This window comes from Homo sapiens, chromosome 2 (assembly GCF_000001405.40).
Source record: "Homo sapiens chromosome 2, GRCh38.p14 Primary Assembly".
Taxonomy (NCBI): Eukaryota; Metazoa; Chordata; class Mammalia; order Primates; family Hominidae; genus Homo; species Homo sapiens.
Genome location: NC_000002.12, coordinates 127,886,708 through 127,913,989, shown reverse-complemented (window position 1 = coordinate 127,913,989; position 27,282 = coordinate 127,886,708). Strand labels below are relative to the sequence as shown.

Here is a 27,282-nt window from a genome sequence, read left to right as displayed (position 1 = left end):
TGCAATGTCTCTGAAGTATGCCTGTACGGAGACATATAGCAGTTATTTCATACTAATAAATGAGGCTGAGTTATTGTCGTACAGCTTTTTCACTGTACAGAAATTTTTCACTGTAAAATTTCTTTATCAGGGTGTAGAGATCTACCTGGCTCTTTTTCCCAAATGTATAGTTTTCCTTTCTTTTCTTTTCTTTTCTTTTTTCTTCTTTTTTTTTTTTTTATTTTTTTTTTGAGACGGAGTCCCGCTCTGTCGCCAGGCTAGAGTGTAGTGGTGCAGTCTCGGCTCACTGCAACCTCCACCTCCCGGGTTCAAGTGATTCTCCTGCCTCAGCCTCCTCAGTAGCTGGGACTACAGGCGCCCGCTACTGTAGTAGTCTGGCTACTTTTTTGCATTTTTAGTAGAGACGGGGTTTCACCATGTTGCCCAGGATGTTCTCGATCTCTTGACCTCAGGTGATCCACCCACCTCGGCCTCTCAAAGTGCTGGGATTACAGGCGTGAGCCACAGCTCCCAGCCCAGTTTTCTTATATAAACACGTCATAGGCTGGGTGCAGTGGCTCATGCCTGTAATCCCAGCACTTTGGGAGGCCAAGGCAGGCAGATCACCTGAGGTCAGGAGTTTGAGACCAGCCTGGCCAACATGGCGAAACCCCGTCTCTACTATAAATACAAAAATTAGCTGGACATGGTGGCGCATGCCTGTAATCCCAGCTACTAGTGGGGCTAAGGCAGGAGGATCACTTGAACCTGGGAGGCAGAGGTTGCTGTGAGCCAAGATTGTGCCATTGCACTCTACCCTAGGCAACAAGAGGGAAACTCTGTCTCAAAAAACAAAACAAAACAAAACAGGTCATAGTGAAATCAGGACTCATTTTCCCTAGTGATGAAGCTCTCCCTTAAAGATAAAATCAAGTGGCAAAAATTCTTTTTTGCATCATGCACCTAGTATTGGTGATTGTGCACATGTGCATGACACTTAGAAATGATGTTGTGGGGTCCAGGCGCGGTGGCTCACGCTTGTAATCCCAGCACTTTGGGAGGCCGAGGCAGGTGGATCACAAGGTCAGGGGTTTGAGACCAGCCTGGCCAATATGGTGAAACCCCTTCTCTACTAAAAATACAAAAATTAGCCAGGCGTGGTGGCATGTAGTCCCAGCTGCTCGGGAGGCTGAGGCAGAGGAGTTGCTTGAACCCAGGAGGCAGAGGTTACAGTGAGCCGATTGTGCCACTGCACTCCAGCCTGGGCAACAGAGCAAGACTCCGTCTCAAAAAAAAAAAAAATGATGTTGTGGGCCGGGTGTGGTGGCTCACGCCTGTAATCCCAGCACTTTGGAAGGCCGAGGCGGGTGGATCACCTGAGGTCAGGAGTTCGAGACCAGCCTGACCAACATGGTGAAACCCCGTCTCTACTAAAAATACAAAAATTAGCTGGGCGTGGTGGCAGGCGCCTATAATCCCAGCTACTTGGGAGGCTGAGGCAGGAGAATCGCTTGAACCCGGGAGGCGGAGGTCGCAGTAAGCCGAGATCGCGCCATTGCACTCCAGCCTGGGGGGACAAGAGCAAGACTTCATCTCAAAAAAAAAAAAAAGAAAGAAAGAAATGATGCCGTGACAGCTCTCCAGAGGAAACTGCTGTTAACAGCTGCTATGTGTCCTTCCAGTCTTTTTTTCTTTTTCCAGGCTGTGGCGTGCAAATAGAAAAGTATACAAATACATACATACATACAGAGAAATACATCATAGTGTCTGTGTAGTCACGAAAGCAGAATCGTGGTTGGATTTTGATAGGTGTTGCCAAGTTGCCTTCCAAAAAGGCCACACCTCCAATTCCCCACTTCTCCACCCTCCCTTACATTGGCAAGTGTCAATGGTTTTAAATTTTAAAAGCCTAAGTTGGAAAAATGTTCTAATTTACACCTTCCTGGTTGCCAAGAGGATCAGTCATTTTAGTGTAGTTTATTAGCCATTAACATTACTTGTGCTATGCATTGCCTATTCATGTGATGGCCAGTTTCTCTTTTTTTTTTGTCTTATTGATTTGCAATCAATAATCTATAATCACTCTGGAAATTAACCTTTTGACTGTTAAACATGTTGCAAATATATTTCCCAGGGTAGAACTTTCTCTTCGGCTTAGTTTTCCTAACAGTTTTGCTACTTCCTTTTCATTCACCATCACGTTAGCAAACATTAACTATAATGTCATCATCTCACTTCAAGAAAAAACAAAAGAAAAACTAAGTTCCTAATTTGCTCTCATTTTTAAATACTAAGTAGGTTCTCTTATGTCTGAATATGAAACATTCATGTAAGTTAGCACTTCCTAAAAGCATTTCTTTTTTTTCTTTTTATCTTTTTTTTTTTTTTTTGAGATGGAGTCTCGCTCTGTCGCCCAGGCTGGAGTACAGTGGCGTGATCTCGGCTCACTGCAAGCTCCACCTCCCAGGTTCACGCCATTCTCCTGCCTCAGCCTCCCGAGTAACTGGGACTACAGGCGCCCGCCACCATGCCCGGCTAATGTTTTTGTATTTTTTAGTAGAGACGGGGTTTCTACATGTTAGCCAGGCTGGTCTCAATCTCCTGACCTCATGATCTGCCCGCCTCGGCCGCCCAAAGTGCTGGGATTACAAGGGTGAGCCACCGCGCCCGGCCCATTTTCTTTTCTTTTCTTTTCTTTTTTTTCTTTCCTATGAAAGGATTTCACTCTGTTGCCTAGGCTGGAGACCCGCAGTGCAATCACAGCTCACTGCAACCTCAACCTCCTGGGCTAAGTGATCCTCACACCTCAGCCTCTAGAATAGCTGGGACCACAGGTGTGCACCACCACACCTGGCTATTTTTATTTTTTGTAGAGGCAGGATCTTGGTGTGTTGCTCAGGCTGGTTTCAAACTCCCAAGCTCAAGTGATCCTCCCACCTTGGTCTCCCAAAGGCATGAGGCACTGTGCCCGGTCCTAAGACCGTTCATTCTTGGTCTCTAATGTATGTATTCTACGAGTGTATTATATTGACCTGATATACCTCGCAAACTATGATGTGTGGCCTCTTAATCTTGCAGAACCACAGTGACATGAGAGGGACAGGGGCTCCTCGGCACCTCTGGTGGCTAAACATTGGAAATTGTTGAAGAAACATATGGAAACTGCCTGCCATTATGTCTGCCTTCTAGCAGGACCTGAGCAAGTGACGGCTGTTATGCATGTTAATGTACATTTGATGTTGTATTTCCATGGGAACTTAGTTGTATGACTTTACCTCCTAAAATTCACAGGACAACTCAGTGGCATCTGAATCTGCACATACATCATTTCCTGCTGACATGCATATACACAATGGAGTACTATTCAGCCATAAAAAAGAATGAGATCCCGTGATTTGCAACAACATGGATGGAACTGGAGGTCATTGTGTTAATTAGAATAATCCAGGCATAGAAAGACAAACTGCATGTTCTCACTTATTTGTGTAAGCTAAAAATTAAAATGATTGAACTCATGGAGATAGAGAATAGAATGCCGGTTACCAGGCTGGGTGCAGTGGCTTATGCCTGTAATCCCCACACTTTGGGAAGCCAAGGTGGGCAGATTGCTTGAGCAACATGGGGGCAACATAGCAAAACCCCATCTCTACCAAAAAACAACAACAACAACAATAAGAAGTACCCAGGTGTGGTGGTGCACACCTATAGTCCCAGCTACTCAGGAGGCTGAGGTGGGAGGATAACTTGAGCCCAGGAAGTTGAGGGTGTAGTGAGCTGAGATGGTGCACTGTACTTCACCCTGGGCAACAGAGCAAGACTGTGTCTCAAAAAAAAACAAAAAAAAAAAAGAGAAAGAAATAGAAATAAAAATAAACAAATAACAAAAATAGTATAATTGGATTGTCTGTAACACAAAGAAAAGATAAATGCTTGAGGTGATGGATACCCCATTTACCCTGATGTGATCATTATGCATTATATATGTGTATCAAAATATCTTGGCTGGGCCCAGTGGCTCACGCCTGTAATCCCAGCACTTCGGGAGGCCAAGGCGGGAGGATCACCTGAGGTAAGGAGTTTGAGACCAGCCTGGCCAACACGGTGAAACCCTGTCTCTACTAAAACTACGAAAATTAGCTGGGTGTGGTGGCAGGTGCCTGTAGTCTCAGCTACTCGGGAGGCTGAGGCAGGAGAATTGCTTGAACCCAGGACGCAGAGGTTGCAGTGAGCCAAGATCGTGCCATTGCACTCCAACCTGGGCAATAAGAGTGAAACTCTGTCTCAAAAAAAAAAAAAAAAAATCTCATGTACCCCATACTATGTACCCACAAAAATTAAAAACAAAATTTCCTGCTGAGTTTCCTGAAATGTCCAGGCTGAGATGTTGGCAGTTAATAGATAAGAACAGCTTCCATAAGACATAAAATTGCCATTAGCTTAATTTTTTAAGGCCACTCAGGAAGACTGTATTTGGCACCACTGTCTTGGCACCATCGTTACCAGCAATAAGCTTAATGTGAGGACATGGCAGCTATAACTGCAAATGATTTCCTTGAAGGCAAATTGTGAACAGCATTTCTTGGAAAGTTGGCTTTCTAGAGCAACGTGGAAAGCTTCAGCTGACAAATGCAGAAGGGTCAGGAGCTGTGGAGAGCCTCTTTTTGCAGCTGCCTGCTGACCATGCCAGTCCGAGCCTGCCTGTCACCTTGGCCATCACAGTTGGAGCCACGAATGGGTCCAGTGGATGAGGCTGCCAACTGCAAGGCCATGGCACTCCCGCATCCTCACCACCGTGCTTACAGCTTGCTGAGCTGTCCTGTGTGTGCAGCTCCTCAGGTGCCCAGATGGTGGCTTCACATAGGTCATTTAATCTAACAACTCACCTGTTGGACAGTTGTGAGTCAGATGAGAAGGCTGAAGCTCAGAGCGGTTAAGTGACCTGCTTGGTCAGTGGTGGAGTGTAAATGCAAACCCCCAGTCTGTGCCCTTCTCTCCTGGCATCATTCTACTCTTCCCTATACACTGATGATTCTTTCCCTGCCCAGTGTGCTCCTTGGCACATTCATCTGGCCTTTCTTCTTCTTCTTTTTTTTTTTTTCCGAGACAGAGTCTCGCTCTGTTGCCCACGCTGCAGTGCAGTGGCGCGATCTCGGCTCACCACAACCTCCCCTCCCGGGTTCAAGCGATTCTCCTGCCTTAGCCTCTTGAGTAGCTGGGATTACAGGCATGCGCCACCATGCCTGGCTAATTTTTATATTTTTAATAGAGACAGGGTTTCACCATGTTGGTCAGGCTGGTCTTGAAACCCTGACCTCGTGATCTGCCTGCCTCAGCCTCTCAAAGTGCTGGGATTAGAAGACTTGACCCACCGCGCCTGGCCTATGTATGTATTTTTTAAGAGACAGGGTCTTGCTCTGTCATTCAGGGTGGAGTGCAGTGACACAGTCATGGCTCACTGCAGCCTCGAACTCCTAGGTTCAAATGATCCTCCCACTTCAGCCTCCTGATTAGCTGAGACTACAGGTGCACACCTCCACACCTGGCTTTTAAACAGCTTTTGTGAGGCCAGGCACGGTGGTTCACACCTGTAATCCCAGCACTTTGGGAGGCCAAGGCAGGTGGATCACCTGAGGTCAGGAGTTCGAGACCAGTCTGGCCAACATGGCGAAACCCTGTCTCCACTAAAAATACAAAAAAAAAAAAAAAATAGCCGGGCGTGGTGGTGGACGCCTGTAGTCCTAGCTACTTGGGAGGCTGAGGCATGAGAATCACTTGAACCTGGGCAGCGGAGGTTGCAGTGAGCCGAGATCGCGCCGCTGCACTCCAGCCTGGGCGATAGAGCAAGACTCTGTCTAAAAAACATAAATAAATACATTTTTAAAAAGTTTTTGTTTCTCACCATATTACCCAGGCTGGTCTGGAGCTCCTGGCTCCAGTGATTCTCCTGCTTCAGCCTCCCAAAGGGCTGGGATTACAGGTGGAGGACACCATGCCCAGCCTGGATATTGTTGACTTTGTGAGTAGTAACTACATACATAAAAGAGCACAAATCCTAAGTATACCGCCCACTGGATTTTCACCAAGTGAACACACCTGTGTAATCACACCCAGATCAAGAAACAGAACATTACCAACATTCCTGAAGCTCCCAGCCATTAGTCCCAGCTGCCAGCCCAGGGATAGCCACATACCTGGCCCTTAACACCATAGATTTGATGCACCTGGTTTTTGAACTTTATGTAAAGGTACAGTGTGTCTACCTCTTTTGTTCAACATTACGTAAAATTCATCCATATTGTGCATGTTGTTTTACACTTTTGTCTGACCGCCCTCCAGAGACAGGGTCTCCCTCTGTTGCCCAGGCTGGTCTTGAACTCCTAGGCTCAAGTGATCCTCCTGCCTCGGCTTCCCGAAGTGCTGTGATTACAGATGTGAGCCACCACACCCAGCCCATTCTCATTGCTTTTGTCCCACGTGTGAATATGCCACAAACGATCTATCCATTCCACTGTCGATGGGCATTTGGGTTATGAGAGACAGGCATTTATCCTGATGTTAAGACTGAAGAAAACTGACACCCAAAAAGATTGAGCAGTTTGGCCAAGGACCCAGAGTAACGATTTGAATCCAGCTCTTCACATCATACCACAGCATCTGCCATTACCTCCTAGATAAATTCAGAAAGTGCATGGAGCTAAATCTCTTGGCCGGGCATGGTGGCTCATGCCTGTAAGCAATCTCAGCACTTTGAGAGGCTGGGGTGGGTGGATCACTTGAGATCAGGAGTTTGAGACCAGCCTGGCCAACATGGTGAAACCCCGTCTCCACTAAAATTACCAAAAAAAAAAAAAAAAAAAAAAAAAAAAAAAAATTCGCTGAGCATGGCGGTGTGCGCCTCTAGTCCCAGCTACTCGGGAGGCTGAGGCACGAGAATCGCTTGAACCTGGGTGGCGGAGGTTGCAGTGAGCTGAGATCACACCACTGTACTCCAGCCTGGGTGACAGAGGGAGACCCTGTCTCAAACAAAACACAACACAACCAAACAAAAAACTCTCTTTACCTCTCAGATACTCAGATTAGGTGGAAAGCAGAGTAGGAGTTTCTGTTAAATTAACTCTACATGTTATATGTAGACTTCAACAATGATTTCAAGCCTCTGGATGCCATCAGGTAAATTTGTGCCCTGCTGGACTTTTGTGGAGTTGACAGCCTTCCAACATCACCACCTATTCTGGCAGCTTAGAGACAACTCAGGGCTTGGCGTACTGCAACTCTCTTCTGACACTAACCACCCACGTGATGAGCATCAGACTCCACAGCGTTAAGGACGTGGGCCCTAATAAGACTTCCGTACTGCAGACACCACCCACAAGCGGGGTCCCCAGGACATCTGCACTTCTGACGGACTGGGTACAAATCTGGGAGATGCCCAGGATCCCCATCAGGCTTGATAGTTCACTAAAATGACTCACAGAACTCAGGAAAGCACTACACATACAATGACAGTTTAATTACAAACGATACAACAAGAACAGCCACGTGGGGAGCCACGGAGGGAGAGGCGGGGACTCCTGGATGCGGAGCTTCCCAGCCCTCTCCCTGTGGAATTGGGATGCAGCGCCCTCCTGGCACACTGATGTGCTAACCAACCTGGAAGCTCCACCGAGCTTGGGGTTGCACCGTGTAGGCGTGATTGAACGATGGCCACCTGATTGCACATGCTCTACAGCCCCTCGCCTCTGCGGAGTTCCGGCTGGCTCAAACCCCAGCCCTCCAATCACACCGTTGGTCTTTCTAGGACCAGCCCCATCCTGAATCATCTGCCTTCAGCATACACTCAGGTCGTTTCAAAGGGGCCCACGAATAACAAAGACATCCTATTACTGAGAAAATTCTGAAGATTTAGAGACTCCCTCCCACAAACAAGGGATAGCAAATTGTTTTTTGTTTTTGAGACGGAGTTTCGCTCTGTTGCCAGGCTGGGGTGCAGTGGTGTGATCTCAGCTCACTGCATCCTCCGACTCCCTGGTTTGAGCAATTCTCCTGCCTCAGCATCCCGAGTAGCTGGGATTACAGGCACCCGCCACCACACCCAACCAATTTTTTTGTATTTTTAGTAGAGACGGGGTTTCACCACGTTGGCCAGGATGGTCTTGATTTCCTGACCATGTGATCCACCCGCCTCAGCCTCCCAAAGTGCTGGGATTACAGGTTTGAGTCACCGCGCCTGGCCGGCAAATTGTGTTTTATACAATGTTATGTCTCATAGGGTTTGTCCTATCATGGGACCACCCTGGTGTCATTTTTTCTAGCGGAAGTGCCTGAGCCTCACTCAGTGGGTCTGGTTATGCTTGTTGTTCTTGACGGACCTGCCTCCCCACCCAAATTCACATGTGGCATTCCCAGCCCTAGTACCCCACTGTGTGATTGTATTTGGAGACGGGGCTTTAAAGAGATAAGTAAGGTAAAATGAGATCATGTGAGCGGGTAGTCCAGTGTAGCTGGTGGCCTTGTAAGCAGGGGCGATTAGGACACAGACACCACACAGATCCAAGGGTGACTGTGTGAGGAACAGCAAGAAGGTGCCAGCTGCAAACCGAGGGCAGAGGCCTCGGGAAAAACCGACCTGCCGAGACCTTTCTCTTTTACTTCCAGTTTCAGCACAGTGAAAAAAATAAATTTCTGCTGGTTAAACCACAGTAGCAAATGAATACACCTGTCAGATCCAACATCAGTGTTTTCCTGTCAGCTTGCCTAATATTTGCCAGATGCTGTGAGCCCAGCACTGGGTGCCTATGAACACCAGCTCAGCTTGGGTTCGGGAGCGCTGCCCTCCCACGGGGCCATGAGTTGGATCACATCTCTCACGTTCCCCTGTTTTACCTCCGCTTTCACTGGGCTTTTTTGGTTTTACTTTTTTTCACTGTCCGTAGACAGCTACTCCCTCCAATTAGTTGGACTACTCCACAATTTGCTTCTTTTTTTCTTTTTTTTGAGACAGAGTCTCACTCTGTCACCCAGGCTAGAGTGCAGCAGTGCAATCTTGGCTCACTGCAACCTCCGCCTCCCGGGTTCAAGCGATTCTCCTGCCTCAGCCTCCCGAGTAGCTGGGATTACAGGCACACACTACCAGCCCGGCTAATTTTTGTATTTTTTTTAGAGATGGGGTTTCACCATGTTGTCCAGGCTGGTCTTGAACTCCTGACCTCAGGTGATCCGCCTGCCTCAGCCTCCCAAAGTGCTGGGATTACAGGCGCGGGCCACCGAGCCCGGCCCCCACAATTTATTTCTAAGTGAAAGGAGCAAGTGGGGATTGTTGCCATCACCTGCCCTTGGCTTGTGCATGCACTGTCACATCCCCTGCCTCCAACTTAACTCCAGAGTCCGGAGCCCAGAGCACCCTGCTTCTCCTTCCAGAGTGCTGCAGGCTCTGGGCTCTTCTCATTCTGGCAGGAAGACAGGTTCTCATACAGGCACAGCATTTCTTCCTAGAGCACTTCCTTTTGTTTTTAGAGACAGGGTCTCACTCTCTTACCCAGTCTGGAGTGCAGTGGCACAATCATAGCTCACTGTAGCCTCGGACTCCTGGGCTCAAGCAATCCTCCCGAGTAGCTGGGACTATAGGCGCACACCACCACGCCTGGCTAATTTTTAAATTTTTTTGGAGAGATGAGGTCTTATTATTTTTCCCAGGCTGGTCTTGAACTTCTGGTCTCAAGTGATCCTCCTGCCTTGGCCTCCCAAAGTGCTGGGATTGCGGATGTGAGCCGTCATGCCTGGCAGAGCACTTCTTTTAACTTCTTTCTTTTTAAACTATTATAAATGTATGCCCATTATAGGAATTGAGAGGACAAATAAGTCTCTTAAAACCTTATGCAGGGATAAACACTAGTAATATCTTATCATCACTCATAGCAATAGAGCTGCTATTACTTGTTATGTGTGCAGCCAACACTGTTGTGATGTTCTGTCTCCATTACCATCTGTACCCATTTTTCAGGTGCGAATACTGAGACTTATTGTGGGGAACTGACTTGCCCCAAGTCATACAACTAATAAAATTGCAGAGATGGGACTTTGATCTTGGGTCTCCACAAAGCCCTTGTTTGTGGCCATTATTCTGTTTCCTTCTGTCTCTTTAAAATATGTAAATGGCCGGGCATGGTGGCTCACACCTGTAATCCCAGCACTTTGGGAGGCCAAGGCAGCCCGAGTGCTTGAGCCCAGGAGTTCAAGACCAGCCTGGGCAACATAGTGAAACCCCATCTTTACAAAAAATTTAAAAAATAGCCAGGTGTGGTGGCGCATGCCTGTGGTCCCAGCTACTCGAGAGGCTGAGATGGGAGGATCACTTGAACCTGGGAGGCAGAGGTTGCAGTGAGCCAAGATTGGCCACTTCAGCCTGGGAGACACAGCCAGATCCTGTCTTTAAAAAAATAAATAAATAAAAATAAAGTGTATATATGCCTTTTTTCTTTTCTTTTCTTTTCTTTTTTTTTTTTTGAGAAAGTCTTGCTCTGTCACCCAGGCTGGAATGCAGTGGCGTGATCTTGGCTCACTGCAACCTCCACCTCCCAGGTTCAAGCGATTCTCCTACCTCAGCCTCTCAAGTAGCTGGGATTACAGGCGCCGGCCACCACACACAGCTAATTTTTGTATTATTAGTAGAGACGGGGTTTCACCACGTTGGCCAGGCTGCTCTTGAACTCCTGACCTCAGGTGATCCGTCCGCCTCGGCCTCCCAAAGTACTGGGATTACAGGTGTGGGCCACCGTGCCCAGCCATATATGCCTTTTTTTATAGTTGTGATAAAACTGTACATAAATTTTTTTATTCTTTCTTGACTGAAACTTACATCAAAGACACAGTTTTCCATATCATGGAATGAGTCTTTCCAGCATAATTTTTGATGGCTGAATAAAGTGATGGAGGGAACACTTGTAATATCCTTGAGGGTTTTTTATTATGTTTTTTTCTTTGGGGCTTTATTCCTCTCTCTTTTGTTAGCTGACTCCTTTTCGGTTAAGGGGAAGCTCAGCCACATAGTTTTTCTTGAACTTGAGAGATTGTTTTGGGTGTATTCTGGGGTTCCCTTCTCATCCGGTAATAGCCAAGCCAACTTGAGAAATGGCTGGCAGGCAGAGTGGGGTGCACGCCGGGTGGCATCCTGTGCTGATGTGCCAGTGTCCACCCCAGGGGCTTTCAGAGTGACACGTGTGTCATTCCTCACTATGCCAGGACATCGGGCACCAGGCAAGTCTGCCCCAGCCACAAGCCATAGGAACCATTTCTCAGGAGCCCCCAGGTGCCAGAGAGCCAGAAGCCGCACCCTTCTCCTTCCTCCACTCAGGAGGCCTGACTGTTTTTTTTTTTGAGACATAGTCTCAGTATGTCGCCCAGGCTGGAGTGCAGTGGCGCGATCTCGGCTCAGTGCAACCTCCGACTCCTGGGTTCAAGCGATTCTCCTGCCTCAGCCTCCCAAATAGCTGGGATTACAGGCACCCACCACCACACCTAGCTAATTTTTGTATTTTTAGTAGAGACGGGGTTTCACTATGTTGGCCAGGCTGGTCTTGAACTCCTAACCTTGTGATCCACCCGCCTTGGCCTCCCAAAGTGCTGGGATTGCAGGTGTGAGCCACTGCGCCCGGCCTACTGTTGGGTATTCATATTTGGAGTCCACAGAAGATTTTTTTTGAAAAGAGGATTTTGCTGCTCAGGAGTTAAAAACCCTAAATTTTTTTTATTATTATACTTTAAGTTCTAGGGTACATGTGCACAACGTGCAGGTTTGTTACATATGTATACATGTGCCATGTTGGTGTGCTGCACCCATTAACTCATCGTTTACATTAGGTATATCTCCTAATGCTATCCCTCCCCCCTACCCCCACCCCACGACAGGCCCTGGTGTGTGATGTTCCCCACCCTGTGTCCAAGTGTTCTCATGTTCAATTCCCACCTATGAGTGAGAACATGCGGTGTTTGGTTAAATACCCTAAATTTAATCCAATTCCTTTATTCTACAAATGAGGAGACTGAGACCAGAGCTGGAAAGAGTCTTATTTGAAGGCAAAGCAGCAAAGCTCGGGCACAAATCCAGGCCTCCTGACGTGAAGGCCAGAGCTGTCTGTGCCAGAGCTGAAATTTCCCAGGAGTTCTAGAAGCAAGGCTTCCAGAGAGTGACTAGCATCGGCAGGCCCTGAGGATATGTTCTAAATAGAGCACTGGGGAAATTAAATGGGAGTGCAGAATTGGAGAGTCACAAGTCTAGAATGAGGGTCTCTTCTCCGTAGCGAACAGTGGCCATTTTCATTTCCAAAGCTGTCTTGGCCATCCTGGGCTGCTTTAACAAAATCCTGCAGACTGAATGGTCAAGCAACAGGCATTCGTTTCTTGCAGTTCTGGGGGCCAGCAATCCAAGATCAGGGCACTGGCCAACTTGGCTCTGCTGAGGACCCTCTTCCTGGCTTGCTGGCAGCAGCCTTCTCCCTGTGTCGTCACAGGGCAGGACTGGGGTGGGGATATCTCCCTTCCTCTTCTTTTTTTTTTTTTTTTTTTAGGTGGAATCTCACTTTGTTGCCTAGGCTAGGCTGGAGTGCAGTGGTTCAACCTCGGCTCACTGTAACCTCCGCCTCCCCGGTTCAAGCGATTCTCCTGCCTCAGCCTCCCAAGTAGCTGGGATTACAGATGCAAGCCACCATGCCTGGCTAATTTTGTATTTTTAGTAGAGACAGGGTTTTGCCATATTGGCCAGGCTGGTCTTGAACTCCTGACCTCGTGATCCACCCACCTTGACCTCCCAAAGTGCTGGTATTACAGGCATGAGCCACTGCACCCGGCCACTCCTTCCTCTTCTTATAAGGCTACAATCCTGTCAGATTAGAGCTCCACCCTGATGGCCTCATTTAACCTTAATTACCTCCTGAAGATCCTACCTCCAGATACAGTTGCACTAGGGTCTAGGGCTTTAACCGACAGATTGTGTGGTGCTGGGAGACACAATTCAGTCCATAACAGCAGCTCATGCTTCTCAAACCTTGGTGGCTTTAGAATCCCCTGGACAGGCCGGGCGCGGTGGCTCACACCTGTAATTCCAGCACTTTGGAAGGCCAAGGCAGGTGGATCGCTTGAGCCCAGGAGCTCAAGACCAGCCTGGGTGACATAGTGAGACCCTGTGTCTATATAAAATTATGTGTGTGTGTATATATATATATATATATATATATATATATACATAATATGTTTTTGCCATGCGCGGTGGCTCAAGTCTGTAATCCCAGCACTTTGGGAGGCCAAGGCGAGCAGATCACCTGAGGTTGGGAGTTCAAGACCAGCCTGGCCAACAAGTTGAAATCCCGTCTCTACTAAAAATACAAAAAAATTAGCCAGGCATGGTGGCATGTGCCTGTAATCCCAGCTATTCAGGAGGCTGAGGCAGGAGAATTGCTCGAACCCGGGAGGCGGAGGTTGCAGTGAGCCAAGATCATGCCACTGCACTCCAGCCTGGGCAACAGAGCAAAGCTCCATCTCAAAAAAAAAAAAAAAAAGGAAAGAATAATGATTACACATTGTTTTGAGCTCATGATCCTTGGCCGCAAGGATTAATAGTAGGGTGGCACCAGCCCAAGGTTACACAGGCAGTTGCTGCCTAGATGTCCCTGCAGAAGTATCTTTTGTGCAAGATCGCAACAGTCTTTGTGCAATGCTGTGGTTTTTGCAGTCTTTTTTCTTAAAAAAAAAAAAAAAATACAGATGAGGTCTCACCATGTTGGCCAGGCTGGTCTCATACTCTAGGCTTCAAGTGGTCCTCCCACCTTGGCTTCCCAAAGTGCTGGGATTACAGGCGTGAGCCACCACGCCCAGGCTTGCAGAGTCTTTCGTGATAGTTTTTGTTATCAGGCAGACAAGCTTGAACCCTCTCTTCATAGCCTTCTCTGATTCTATGTGTCAGGGTTTTCCAAAACACAGGTGACTTCATTTTTATCCTGACAACTTTCACAAAACTAAAATCGGTATTAATAAAAGAAAACATAATGTATCAATTTTTATAACCTTCTTTAAAAAAGCCTTTTGATTGATGACCAGGTGTGGTGGCTCACGCCTATAATCCCAGCACTTTGGGAGGCCGAGGCAGGCAGATCATCTGAGGTCAAGAGTTTGACACCAGCCTGGCCAACATGGTGAAATCTCATCTCTACTAAAAATACAAAAATTAGCCAGGCGTGGTGGCAGACGCCTATAGTCCCAGTTACTCTGGAGGCTGAGGCAGGAGAATCACTTGAACCCAGGAGGCAGAGGTTGCAGTGAGCCAAGATCATGCCACTGTGCTCCAGCCTGGGCAACAGAGCAAGACTCCATCTCAAAAAGCCTTTTGAATCAATGCATGAATGAACAAGCAGATGCTCAAACACATCTTCAATCTTGCCTCTTTTCCTGTAATAAAAGAATTCAAGGGGGGTATTTATTTATCTATTTATTTTGAAGCAGGGTCTCGCTTTGCCTCCCAAGCTGGAGTGCAGTGGTGCAATCATGGTTCACTGCAGCCTGGAAGTCCCAGACTCAAGCAAATCTCCCACCTCAGCATCCCCTGGTAGCTGAGACTACAGGTGCACACCACCACACCTAAATTTTCTGTAGAGATAAGGTCTCCCTATATGGCCTATGCTGGTCTCAAACTCCTGGGCTCAAGCTATCCTCCTGCCTAGGCCTCCGAAAGTGCTGGAATTACTGGGCTGTGCCGCACGCAGCACTAGCCAGGGTATTTATTTTTTTAGAATCGCTTCTTTTACAATTATGTGATAAGGTATTTAATTAGGATATCTCGGGACAGTTCCCTCCTCCTGCTAAGGTTCCTGAAATAGCTCAAGAAAAGTGTCCCTTTGTAACAAGAATTTGAGGAGTAACTGTCTGCTAAAGTAGTTGAAGTCTATGGGACTGAAGTATAAAATCCAGTGATATAGCTTGTTATAATACAGTAGTTTTAGGGGTGTCAAGGAGGAAAAACTTTTCCTTTCGTCTTAGGTTCAGTGTCTGTGGGCCTGTGGATTAAAATAACAAAAGGCAGATTAACAGGAGAAAAGGCACATAGTTTTGGTTTTGGGTTTTTGTTTTCTTGTTTGCTTGTTTTTTTGAGACGGAGTCTTACTCTGTTGCCAGGCTGGAGTGCAGTGGTGCGATCTCAGGTCACTGCAAACTCCACCTCCCGGGTTCATGCGATTCCCCTGCCTCAGCCTCCCAAGTAGCTGGGACTACAGGCGTGCGCCACCACACCCAGCTAATTTTTTGTATTTTAGTAGAGATGGGGTTTCACCATCTTGGCCAGGCTGGTCTCGAACTCCTGACCTTAGGTGATCCGCCTGCCTCGGCCTCCCAAAGTGCTGGGATTACAGGCGTGAGCCACTCCGCCCGGCAGCACATAGTTTTTATTATTACGTGTAGGGGAATTAACAGAAGTGAAACTCAAAGACGTGGTTATACTGGAGGCTTTATACCCTTTTAACAGAGGAGAGAGGATTTGGGCTTCAAAGATGATAAACTGTGGGAAAGTGACCAGGAAATAGATTGGGGAAGTTAAGGGCTATTTTAATAAGGTCTGTTTATTTAAACTCATCTTGGTGTTGACTTCCTGCCGTCAATGATAAGAGTTGCTCTGCTCTCCCTGGTACAAAGACGAGGCTGGGTGGCCCCACAATTTATATAGCTGCTCCTACCTGATACCGATGCAAGCTACATTTCTTTTGTTTTTCGCTAAGGTTTTTTGTTTTGTTTTGTTTTTGTTTTTTCACTTTTTATTTTGAAATAATTATGGATTCACTGAAAGTTGCAAAGAAACAGCATTTTCAGTTGGTCCCATGGACCAATCCACTTTCTCCCATTGGTTGTATTTTCCATAACTATATCAAAAGCAGGAAATTGACACTGGCAGAGATAGTGTGTATAGTTCAATGTCATTTCATCACGTAGGTAGATCAGGGTGACCACAACTGTGGTCAAAGATCTCCCTTGAGCAATGCCTTTATAGTCACACCTACACCCTCTTCTCCCTACCATCCCTAATTCCTGGCAACCACTAATCTGGTCTCCAAAAATTTTGTCCTTTCAAGAATGTTATATAAAGGCAATTACACCCTTTAGGTCAAAATGGGCTTTTTCACTCAGCATAATGCCCTTGAGATCCATCCAAGTTGTTGGGTTTATCAAGAGTTTATTCCTTCTTGTTGCTGAGTAGTATTCCATGGTGTGGATGTACTGGCTTGTTTAACAACTCACCTGTTGAAGGACATCTGGGCTCTTTCCAGTTTTCCACTATTGCAAATAAAGCTGCTATGAACAATTATGTAAGGGTTTCTGTGCAGACCTAAGTTTTCATTGCTTTGGGATAAGTGTCCAGAGGTGCAACTACCAGGTCATATTGTAGTATATGTTTAGGTTTTAAGAAAATGTTGGCTGGGCAAGGTGGCTCATGTCTGTAATCCCAGCATTTTGGGAGGCCAGTAGTTTGAGACCAGCCTGGGAAACATAGAGAGGCCTCATCTCTACTAAAAGTTAAAAAAAAAAGCCAGGTGTAGTGGTACACACCTGTAGTCCCACGTACTCGGGAGGCTGAGGCAGGAGGATTGCTTAAGCTCAGGAGTTCAAGGCTGCAGTGAGCTGTGATCAAGTCACTGTACTCCAGCCTAGGGGACAGATTGGGACCCTGTCTCAAAAAAAAAAAAAAGAAAAAAAAGACTGGGTGCAGTGGTTCACGCCTGTAATCCCAGCACTTTAGGAAGCTGAGGCATGCGGATTACCTGAGGTCAGGAGTTCCAGACCAGCCTGGCCAACATGGCGAAACCTCGTCTCTACTAAAAATACAAAAATTAGTCGGGCAAGGTGGCACACGCCTGTAATCCCAGTTACTCGTGAGGTTGAGGTAGAAGAATTGCTTGAACCCAGGAGACTGAGGTTGCAGTGAGCCCACATTGCACCACTGCACTCCTGGGCAACACAGTGAGACTCTGCTTCAAAAAAAAAAAAAACAAAGAAAGAAAGAAAAAGCCAAACAATTTTCCAAAAAGGTCGTACCGTCTTCCATTCCCATCAGCTGTCTATGAAGGATCGTTTCTGCACATCCTTGCCAACATTCAGTATTACCAAGGTTTATTTCAGCTGTTCTGAAAGATGTGTAGTAACATCTTAGTGTGATCTTAATTCGCATTTTGCTAATTACTAGTGATGCAACTTTTCACATGCTTAATTTCCTTCCATATGTCCTCTTCAGTGAAATGTCTCTGCAAGCCTTTTGTCCATTCTCTAATTGGATCACTTGTTTTTTTTACTGTCTTCAGAGTTCTTTATATATTGTAGATATGTGTCCTTTATCAGTATTTTCTCTGTAGCCTGTATTTTTGTCCTCTTTGAGGGACTTTCACAGAGCAAAAGTTTTGATGAGGTCCCACTCATAGTTTCATAGTTTTATTTTTTACATTTAAAGCTACAATCCATTTTGAATTTTTTTTTTTTTTTTTTGAGATGGATTCTCGCTGTGTCACCAGGCTATCTCGGCTCACTGCAACCTCTGCCTCCTGGGTTCAAGCAATTCTCCTGCCTCAGCCTCCCGAGTAGCTGGGACTAAAGGCACGCACCACCACACCCGGCTAATTTTCGGATTTTTAGTAGAAAAGGGGTTTCACCATGTTGGCCAGGCTGGTCTTAATCTCTTGACCTCGTGGTCTGCCCACCTCAGCCTCCCAAAGTGCTGGGATTACAGGCGTGAGCCACCACACCCAGCCCATTTTGAATTATTATAGAAAGTGTGAGGTTTAGGCCACAGTTTTTTTTTCCCTGTGGATTTCTAACTACTGCAGCATTATTTGTTGAAAAGACTCTCTTTTTGGTGGGGCGCAGTGGCTCACGCTTGTAATCCCAGCACTTTGGGAGGCTGAGGTGGGCGGATCACCTGAGGTTGGGAGTTTGAGACCAGCGTGGCCAACATGGTGAAACCCCATCTGTACTAAAAATACAAAAATTAGCCAGGCGTGGTGGCAGTGCCTGTAATCCCAGCTACTCGGGAGGCTGGGGCAGGAGAATCACTTGAACCTGGGAGGCGGAGTTTGCAGTGAGCTGAGATGGCGCCACTGCCCTCCAGCCTGGGCAACAAGAACGAAACTCCGTCTCAAAAAAAAGAAAAGAAAAGAAATCTCTTTTAGGCTGGGCACGGTGGCTCACGCCTGTAATCCCAGCACTTTGGGAGGCTAAGGTGGGCAGATCACAAGGTCAGGAGATTGAGACCATCGTGGCTAACATGGTGAAACCCTGTCTCTACTAAAAATACAAAAAATTAGGCGGGCATGGTGGCGGGCGCCTGTAGTCCCAGCTACGTGGAAGGCTGAGGCAGGAGAATCGCTTGAACCCGGGAGGCGGAGGTTGCAGTGAGCTGAGATCGTGCCACTGCACTCTAGCCTGGGCAACAGAGTGAGACTCCATCTCAAAAAAAAAAAAAGAATCTCTTTTCAACATTGAACAGTTTTTGCACCTTTATCAAAAAACAATTGGTGGCTGGGCGCAGTAGCTCATGCCTGTAATCCCAGCACTTTGGGAGGCCAAGGCAGGCGGATCACCTGAGGTCAGGAGTTCGAGACCAACCTAGCCAACATGGGAAAACCTTGTCTCAAAAAATAGAAAAAATAGCTGGGTGTGGTAGCGTACGACTATAGTCCCAGCTACTTGGGTGGTTGAGGCAGGACAATCACTTGAGCCCGGGAGGTATAGGTTGCAGCGAGCCGAGATCACGCCACTGCACTCTAGCCTGGGTGACAGAAGGAGAGTCCATCTCAAAACAAACAAACTACCTACCCTCCCACCACACTCCCCCCCAAAAAAAACCAATTGGCTGCACTAACATGGGCTCTCTCTGAGCCCTCTATTCTGTGATCTCTGTGTCTGTCCCTCAGCCAGTACCACATGGTCTTGCCTGCTATAGTTACAGAGTGAGCCTTAATATCAGGTAGAGTTAGTCCTCCCACTGTCTTTTTTTTTTCCAAAAATTTTTTTAGCTATTATAGTTTCCATGTCTTTCCACAGGAATTTTAGAATAGCTTTTCTTTTTTTTTTGAGATGGAGTTTCGCTCTTGTTGCCCAGGCTGAAGTGCAATGGCGCGATCTCGGCTCACTGCAACCTCCGCCTCCCAGGTTCAAGTGATTCTCCTGCCTCAGCCTTCTGAGTAGCTGGGATTACAGGTGCCCACCGCCATACCCGGCTAATTTTGTGTATTTTTAGTAGAGAGGGGTTTCACCATGTTGGCCAGGCTGGTCTCAAACTCCTGACCTCAGGTGATCTGCCTGCCTTGGCTTCCCGAAGTGCTGGGATTACAGGCATGAGCCACCATCCCCAGCCTAACAGATGCATTTTTAAAATGCTGAAGATGGTTTAGGAGAAAAAGTGTTTTGCAACTTGTAAAAGAAAGAAAAGATTTTTAAAATTCTATTTTAAAAGTAAAGTATGTATTCAACATGGAGCTGGAAATAGTTAGTGCAATATGACACAAAAAGAAAAAGAGAAGAAAGAAAAGAAAAGGAATACAGATTGGAAAGCAATAAAAAAATTGTCCCTGTTTGCAGATGATATGACCGTTCACATGAATATCCCAAGGAGTCTACAAAAAAACCTCCTAGAACTAATAAGTGAGTTCAGCAAGACTACAAGATACAGGCCGGGTACGGTGGCTCACGCCTGTAATCCCAGCATTTTGGGAGGCCAAGGCAGACAGATCACCTGGGCAGTACTCCAGCCTGGGCAACAAGAGCAAAACTCCGTCTCAAAAATAAATAAATAAATAGACCAGGTGCAGTGGCTCATGCCTGTAATCCCAGCACTTTGGGAGGCCGAGATGGGAAGATTACTTGAGGTCTGGAGTTCGAGGCCAGCCTGGCCAACGTGGTGAAACCCCATCTCTACTAAAAATACAAAAATTAGCCAAGCGCGGTAGTGCATGCCTGTAATCTCAGCTGCTTGGGAGGCTGAGGCAGGAAAATCACTTGAACCCGGGAGGTGAAGGTTGCAGTGAGCCAAGATCAGGCCACTGCACTCCAGCCTGGGTGATGGAGCAAGACTCTTGTCTCAAAAAAAAAAAAAAAAAGAAAAAGAAAAAAAAAGTAAAATAAAATAAGTTAAAAATATATCTGTTAAACATTTACTGAGCATGTACTCTGTGCACACCTCTATGCTGAGAGCTGAGGGGTGGAGGTGAATGATCTTCAGTTCATTTTGAAACAGCTCGCATTCCAGAAAGAGAAACAGACAAGGAAACACACAATAGCCCTCCTGGGAAATACCGGCCCCCAAGACAGTGAGTACAGGCTCCAGGTAGAGGCACGATGACTGCTCAAAGCAGCCTGTGCTCCCTCCTCCTTCCCGGTGGGTGGGGCAAGGGGTGGTGGGAAGATGGGCAGGGGACCTGCTGAGTGACCAGGCCATTCCTGTTGCCTCTACTGGGGGCAGCTCTTCCACACGAGCACAATGGATTACATGGTCTTGGAGGCCCAGAGCCTTATTTGTTTGGGGTTCTTCAAGTAGTGTAATTTAAAAAAATGAACAGAGGAAAACTCAGTTCCGTCTTGGGGGATTTTTAAGTCCTTCTTCTGAGTAGGGCAAGAGACAGAAATATGTAGTGAAGGTCTCGTGTCTAAATCGGGCAGCTGGCAGAAGCTGAGCTATTGTCGTCTCTTCACGGTGCTGAGTCAAAAATACCTCTGTGCTTAGAGGCTAGAAAAACCCGATTCATTCCCGGCGCAAACGGGACGACAGACCCAGGGCTGCATCACATGCCTGTGCTCTCCTGCCCTGCTCCGGGCGGACATGCCCTGTCCCCAGTGCTCTCCCGGGCCTTGCTTCCTATGGCTGGTGTTGGTCAGAAGAAAGACGTGTGTGGACTGGGATGTCTGGGCTTTCTGTTTCTCCACAGAAATGTATGCCAGGGTTCTAAGGCTCTACAGCTTAGGAACTCAATTTCTCCAGAAGTTAAGATCGCTGCCCTAAGAAGAAAATATTCCTGACATGTTCAGCCCATGGAATTCACCCATTTATTCACTCTTAGTCGAACAGCCTTGCTGTAGATCCATGGAGCTTCCCACTCTGACGTGTCCCACATGCATGGTGTGGTAGGAAAGCCTTCACGTATTTTTTTTTTTTTTTTTTTTGGAGATGGAGTCTCACTCTGTCGCCAGGCTGGAGTGCAGTGGCATGATCCCAGCTCACTGCAACCTCAGCCTCCTGGGTTCAAGTGATTCTCCTGCCTCAGCCTCCCGAGTAGCTGGGATTACAGGCATGTGCCACCACACTCAGCTAATTTTGTATTTTTAGTAGAGCCGAGGTTTCACCATGTTGGCCAGGCTGGTCTCGAACTCAGGTGATCTGCCCGCCTTGGCCTCCCAAAGTGTTGGGATTACAGACATGGGCCACCGTGCCCCACCAGCCTTCATGTATTCTGATGGGCGGGGGGAGACAGTGGGACCAGTGAGCCAGGAGTCCTGAGGCCACCAGGCAAACTTGGTGTCACCCTCAAGTCATTGGATGGTTTCTCTTTCTCTGTGTCTGTTCAGTGATTTCCATTCAAATGGTTACTCTGTGTTGCCTCCAGAAGCCTCAAAGCTTAGTGTGGCTGTCCTCTATATGCATCATGTCCATGCCTGCAGTTTGTACCTCTCACAGCCTCTTCCTTCTGGGTCCCAGGTCCTTGCTCTTCTTCTGGGGTTAGATGTCAATTGTTTATTCGGTCTCATCGTTGCCCCATCGCGTCTGCACATCAAGGCCTCCTACCAAAAAAGTGAGGGAGAATAAAACAGTCTTTTGTTCTCATTTGTTTCCTTCTCTGAACTTAAAACTCACTATATTGAGAGTCCTTGCAACATGTGTTGCAGGAGTCTACAACTACATTTCCCAGATACTCTCACCACTTGAGTTCCTTTTAGATTCCGCCAGTGGGAGGTGCTGGGGAAAGACCAGACGGTAGAAGGAGAAAAAAAAAAGACATCTCCTCCTGATTTCAGCAACGATGGCACCCCTCCAGCAAGTGCAGGAAGTTCCAGCTCCCCACTTCTCAGGCTCTTTGACACCGGCCCAAGGGCACCCCTTAAGAGTTCTCAGCAGCAGCCCCATGGTGACCTGTCCTCCCAAGCTCCCGGGTGCTAGTAATGCTAATTCTTCCTTTTTGTTCTCTCAGCCCTAAGGGTGCTAGCTCCTTCCTACAGTTGCTCATTTTTGGGTTACCTCAACATCTGCTTCATTCTTTTAGCCTTCTAACCATGTGACCAAAAATCTCCTTTTGTTTGCAATGCCTGGTGTGGTTTTTCTTTCCTGAACCCTAACTGATACAGTACTTGGAATCAGAATTAGAGTTTATTTAAAACCTTCTGGAACACATACGATTTTCAGATGAATCTAAGGTACTTACCACTTCCTGCTCATTGGGTCCATTCAACAACATGGCACCAATGTAATGAATCAATGTGATATTCTGTGGGATGTCAGGAGGCTTAAAGTCTCTGCAGGTAAGATTATGGTGGACAGAAGGGTATGTAGCATAGCCCTGAGGCTAGACAAAGTGCATTGCTATCTCTGAAATAACTCCTTGTAGACTGGACCCTGGTAGATACAAGTATCTTTATTTATTTACTTATTTTTATAGAGACAGTGTCTCACTATGTTGTCCAGGCTAGTCTCAAGCTCCTGGCCTCAAGCAATCCTCCCGCCTCAACCTCCCAAAGTGCTGGGATTACAGGCATGAGCCACCATGCTAGGCTCAACATCTTTTTTTTTTTTTTTTTGAGACGGAATTTCGCTCTCTCGCCCAGGCTGGAGTGAAGGGGCGCAATCTTGGCTCACCGCAACCTTGGCCCCCTGGGTTCAAGCGATTCTCTTGCCTCAGCCTCCCAAGCAGCTGGGATTACAGGCATGGGCCACCATGCCTGGCTAATTTTTGTATTTTTAGTAGAGATGGCATTTTGCCATGTTGGCCAGGCTGGTCTTGACTCCTGACCTCAGGTGATATACCCGTCTCGACCTCCCAAAGTGCTAGGATTACAGGCGTGAGCCACCGCGCCCAGCCTTGGCCCAACATCTTTAATCATGAAAATCTGAGAGTGAGCTACATTTAGTGTGCATGAAGGAACCATATTTTTCCTACCTTCCATCTCAATCCCCTCACTGAGGTTGTAAAACAACAGGAGATCTTGTAAAAAGCTTAAATCTCTAGATTCAGGGAAGAGAACAAGATTGCTTTAAAAATAATGCCGGACAAACAAATTGTGGCATATTGTTCAATGTGTATTGAATGGCATAGTATTCTGTGCATCAAAGAAAAAGAATGAACTATAGTTGCACATAAGCAAAGGGATGAATTTCCTGGACATAATGTTGAACGAAACAGACCAGACCCAAAGGAGTATGTACTGGATGAGTCGATTTGAATGTCCGTGAATTCAAGAGCAGGCAAAACTATCCCACAGTGATAGAAGTCAAAATAATGGGTATCTTTTGGAGGGGATTAGGAACGGGGAGAAGGCACAAGAGAACCTTCTGAGCTGCTAGAAATATTCCACATCTTAAATTGGATGATGGTTACATGGATGGACACTAATGTAAGAATTGGTCAAGCTGTATACTTGAGCTGTGTGAATTCTAAACATGTATGTCCTCTCTCAATAAAAAAGCAATATAAAATGCTTGGTTACAGAGTAGCCATTTAGAGAGTATTTGTAGAATAAATGAATACGTGACTTGAGCTCTCCAACTCTGTTGCATTTATTTCATTGGTAGTACTAGTTTTTTTTTTTTTTTTTTTTTTTGAGACAGAGTCTGGCTCTGTTGCCCAGGCTGGGGTGCAGTGGCGTGATCTTGGCTCACTGCAAGCTCCACCTCCTGGGTTCACGCCATTCTCCTGCCTCGGCCTCCCGAGTAGCTGGGACTACAGGCAACCGCCACCATGCCTGGCTAATTTTTTGTATTTTTGGTAGAGACGGGGTTTCACTGTGTTAGCCAGGATGGTCTCAATCTCCTGACCTTGTGATCCGCCCGCTTCGGCCTCCCAAAGTGCTGGGATTACAGGCATGAGCCACTGCGCCCGGCTGCTAGTACCAAAAGTTTAGAACTTTTTAAATGTTAAATTCTACACCCAAGTGACATACAAAGTTTAAAACACATCTTCTCAGGCTGGGCGCAGTGGCTAATGCCTGCAATCCCAACACTTTGGGAAGCCAAGGTGGGAGGACTGCTTGAGCCCAGGAGTTTGGAGACCAGTCTGGGCAACATAAGGAGACTCCATTTTCTACAAAAATTAGCTGGGTGTGGTCGTGCGTACCTGTGATCTCAGCTATTTGGGAGGCTGAGACAGGAGGACTGCTTGAGCCAAGGAGGTAAAGGGTGCAGTGAGCTATGGTCGTGCTGCCACTGCACTGCAGCCACACTCCAGCCTGGGCAACAAAGCAAAACCCTGTCTCAGAAAAAAAAAAAAAAGAAAGAAAACCTTCTGAGTAATGTGGCTTAACAAACAAAACACTAGAGGGCTTATTTATTTAAACTACTTTATACCTCTGAAATATTCAACCCAGGTAGACAACTGTATATACAAAGATTTGTTTTCATCAGATAAGTACCGATCATACCTTTGACGTGCCCAAGTGGACACAGCGGCGGAGGACACACAGGAGACAGGGGCCATCTCTGGAGTCTCTCTGGGCCTGCCTTTTGTGAAGGGGAGAGCACAGATGCAGACCAAGGCCAGACTCACTTCCAGTTGAGAAATGGGACAAATGGGACAGATAAAATCTACATCACCCACCAAGATCCTGTCTGAAACCTTATTTCATTCCTACTAGTTAGCAAATGCCTTTAGCTCATCATTGATTGCTCACAAAAGGAGCAAATCCAGAAGAATGTGTATGCCCAGTATACAGGCTAACTTCATGCTGATCTCAACATTCTAATGCTCACGAGGCTCAGTTACTGAGCATTTTCACCACACCAATCTGATAAGGTTTATAATGTACAGACTTATTGGTATTTAAATCTCATAACATCCCTATGAGGCAGGAATGCTATAATCCCCATTTTACAGATAATAAGCCTGAGTCACTGATATAACTTGTTCACAGGTATTCAGTCAGGGCTGGGATTTGGACCTATGCAGGCTGATTCCACAGTGGACTCTTAACCATTACTACATATTCTTTTTTTTTTTTTTTTTTTTTTGAGATGGAGTTTCGCTCTTGTTGCCCAGGCTGGATGGAGTGCAATGGCGCGATCTCAGCTCACCGCAAACTCTGCCTCCCAGGTTCAAGCAATTCTCCTGCCTCAGCCTCCCGAGTAGCTGGAATTACAGGTATGCACCACCACGCCCGGCTAATTTTGTATTTTTAGTAGAGACGGGGTTTCTCCATGTTGAGGCTGGTCTCGAACTCCTGACCTCAGGTGATCCTCCTGCCTCGGCCTCCCAAAGTGCTGGGATTACAGGCGTGAGCCACCGCGCCCGGCCATTACTACATATTCTTAACCAACCGAGATAAGAAATAATAAAAGTTGTACATAAGGGAGGCAGACAATTTGTTTTGGGGTATTCTGATGAGTGGTATAGCTATGTCACAGCAGATTGGGGTGACATTTGAGGATCATGCAGAAGCCTTGAACCACCCAGCGTCTCTGCAGTTCTCCTTTCCCAAGTATATTATCTGCCCGCTGCTTGCTGGTTTCCATCTTCGTTTATTCAGTTGAGCCACAAATAATTGTATGCCTATTACATACCAGGTTTCTGTATTATGTACAGGAAATGAGAAGATAAATAAGAGACAGCCTCTTCCATATTTATGGCATATACTGCCCTCATTTTAGTTTCTTCCTCCTGTTCATAATTTCATTGTTTGTTTTTGCATCAGTTCAAACTGTTGCTTGCTTATGTGAGGTGACCTCAAAGTGACTTTTTGAAAGTCCTGACCCTTTGCCTTTCAACATCATTTAAGAACAGCAATAGCATCTGGATCTTCTCAGTAAAATGCCTTTTCAACAGCTCAAAGCAAGGCTTGTTTTTGTTTTAATTTGGGAATGTTTCAAGTGAAACTTAGTTCCATCATTTAATTCCTGGCAGCCCAATAACGAGGGGGCAATAACTCCCTTATCTGTGGGCTATTTAATGACTATATAGTACCATCCTGGGAGCAATAGACTAAGGCCTTCTTCCAGATGCCATGTTTTAAGGTTTTCAGCTGGAAAGACCGTCACTCCGTAAAATTTATTTTGATTATTTTAAGTCAGGATTTGGCCTTCTTATTCAGAAACAAAAAGAAAAAAACTGGCCCCTGGCTTTCTGCCTCCTGCACTTCTGGCTCTAGGCCATATGATCATCTAATTTCTAGTTTTTCAGGCAGACAGAGAAGGTTAGAAACTGGCAACCGTGTCCTCAACAGCAGATAAGCGTATCAAGTCTGTAACAGGAATTAAGAAGACTGCTATAGAATTTTTTTTTTAAGTCACCTCCTGTTTCACAAAGCATAGCTGTCTCTTCCTTTTCGTCCTCCTTGCCCATTCTCTTGGAGAAGTCCAGGTCCAAGAGGCACCAGACACTCAATTGACTAGGGTTTTGCTGCCTATAGGTAATTATGCTAAAAGTCTAGAGTAGTAGATCTTATGCTCGCATAATTATGCATTCTAGAGCAGAAGGTTTTTGCTGGAAAGCTTCACTGTTAGATATGATTTGCATTTTTTACTAGATACTTGTCTTTGGTCTTTGAGGACAAACATATCAAGGATTCCTTTGTGCATCAACAGAAAAGCAAAACACAAAACAGCCTATATGTGAGCATGGGGCCGTATTTTAATACAAGAAAGACATTGCTCTAGAACATGGCTCGCCTTTGCTTCAGGGCCTAGCAGTTTATTTTAGCCATAAGGGTAAGGGAGCAGGTCAGAAATGACTTTTAGTGTAATCCTATCTGTAATTAAAAATACAAATGCTGTCATAAGATCAAATGTTATCAAAAATCAGTATTTAAAATTAAATTTACCCCCAAATTTCTTTCAAAAAAAATTTGTAATGTTCTTTTTCAGTGAAGCCTTTGCACTGCTAGAGCTGAAGAATGTGATCAATCGGCTTGTTGAATAATCCTGCACAGTAGGTATTCCGCTGAAGCCAACTCTAGCTGGGGGCTCGAGAGCGAAAGACACAGATGGGGCCCTGCCGCCCCTCGAAGAGTCGGATGGGCGCGCCCGTCCCCGGTGCATCAAGAGGCTGGCCCGGCCAGGGGCGAGCGGCTGGCACCGAACCCCGCGCACTT

General features: G+C 46.5%; 1 long non-coding RNA gene and 1 pseudogene across 1 annotated transcript, besides 2 other annotated features; both read right to left on the bottom strand.

Moving 5' to 3' along the window:
• Positions 7,684–8,184: an enhancer, noted in NCBI's record as "H3K4me1 hESC enhancer chr2:128663380-128663880 (GRCh37/hg19 assembly coordinates)". NCBI's record gives its function as "activates a minimal SCP1, AML or CMV promoter by ChIP-STARR-seq in primed H9 embryonic stem cells {active_cell/tissue: H9 hESC(primed)}" and the evidence as "EXISTENCE:reporter gene assay evidence [ECO:0000049][PMID:30033119]".
• On the bottom strand, positions 20,138–26,872 carry LOC107985944 (uncharacterized). Its single transcript, XR_001739707.2, has 2 exons — positions 24,622–26,872; positions 20,138–21,774 (listed from the first exon to the last, which is right to left on the bottom strand). It is a non-coding gene; the product is annotated as an uncharacterized LOC107985944 (long non-coding RNA).
• The window catches only part of LOC107985803 (uncharacterized), a 28,878-nt pseudogene continuing 28,398 nt past the window's right edge, over positions 26,803–27,282 (bottom strand).
• Positions 27,154–27,203: a silencer, noted in NCBI's record as "silent region_11941". NCBI's record gives its function as "represses an Ori minimal core promoter by ATAC-STARR-seq in GM12878 lymphoblastoid cells {active_cell/tissue: GM12878}" and the evidence as "EXISTENCE:reporter gene assay evidence [ECO:0000049][PMID:35858748]".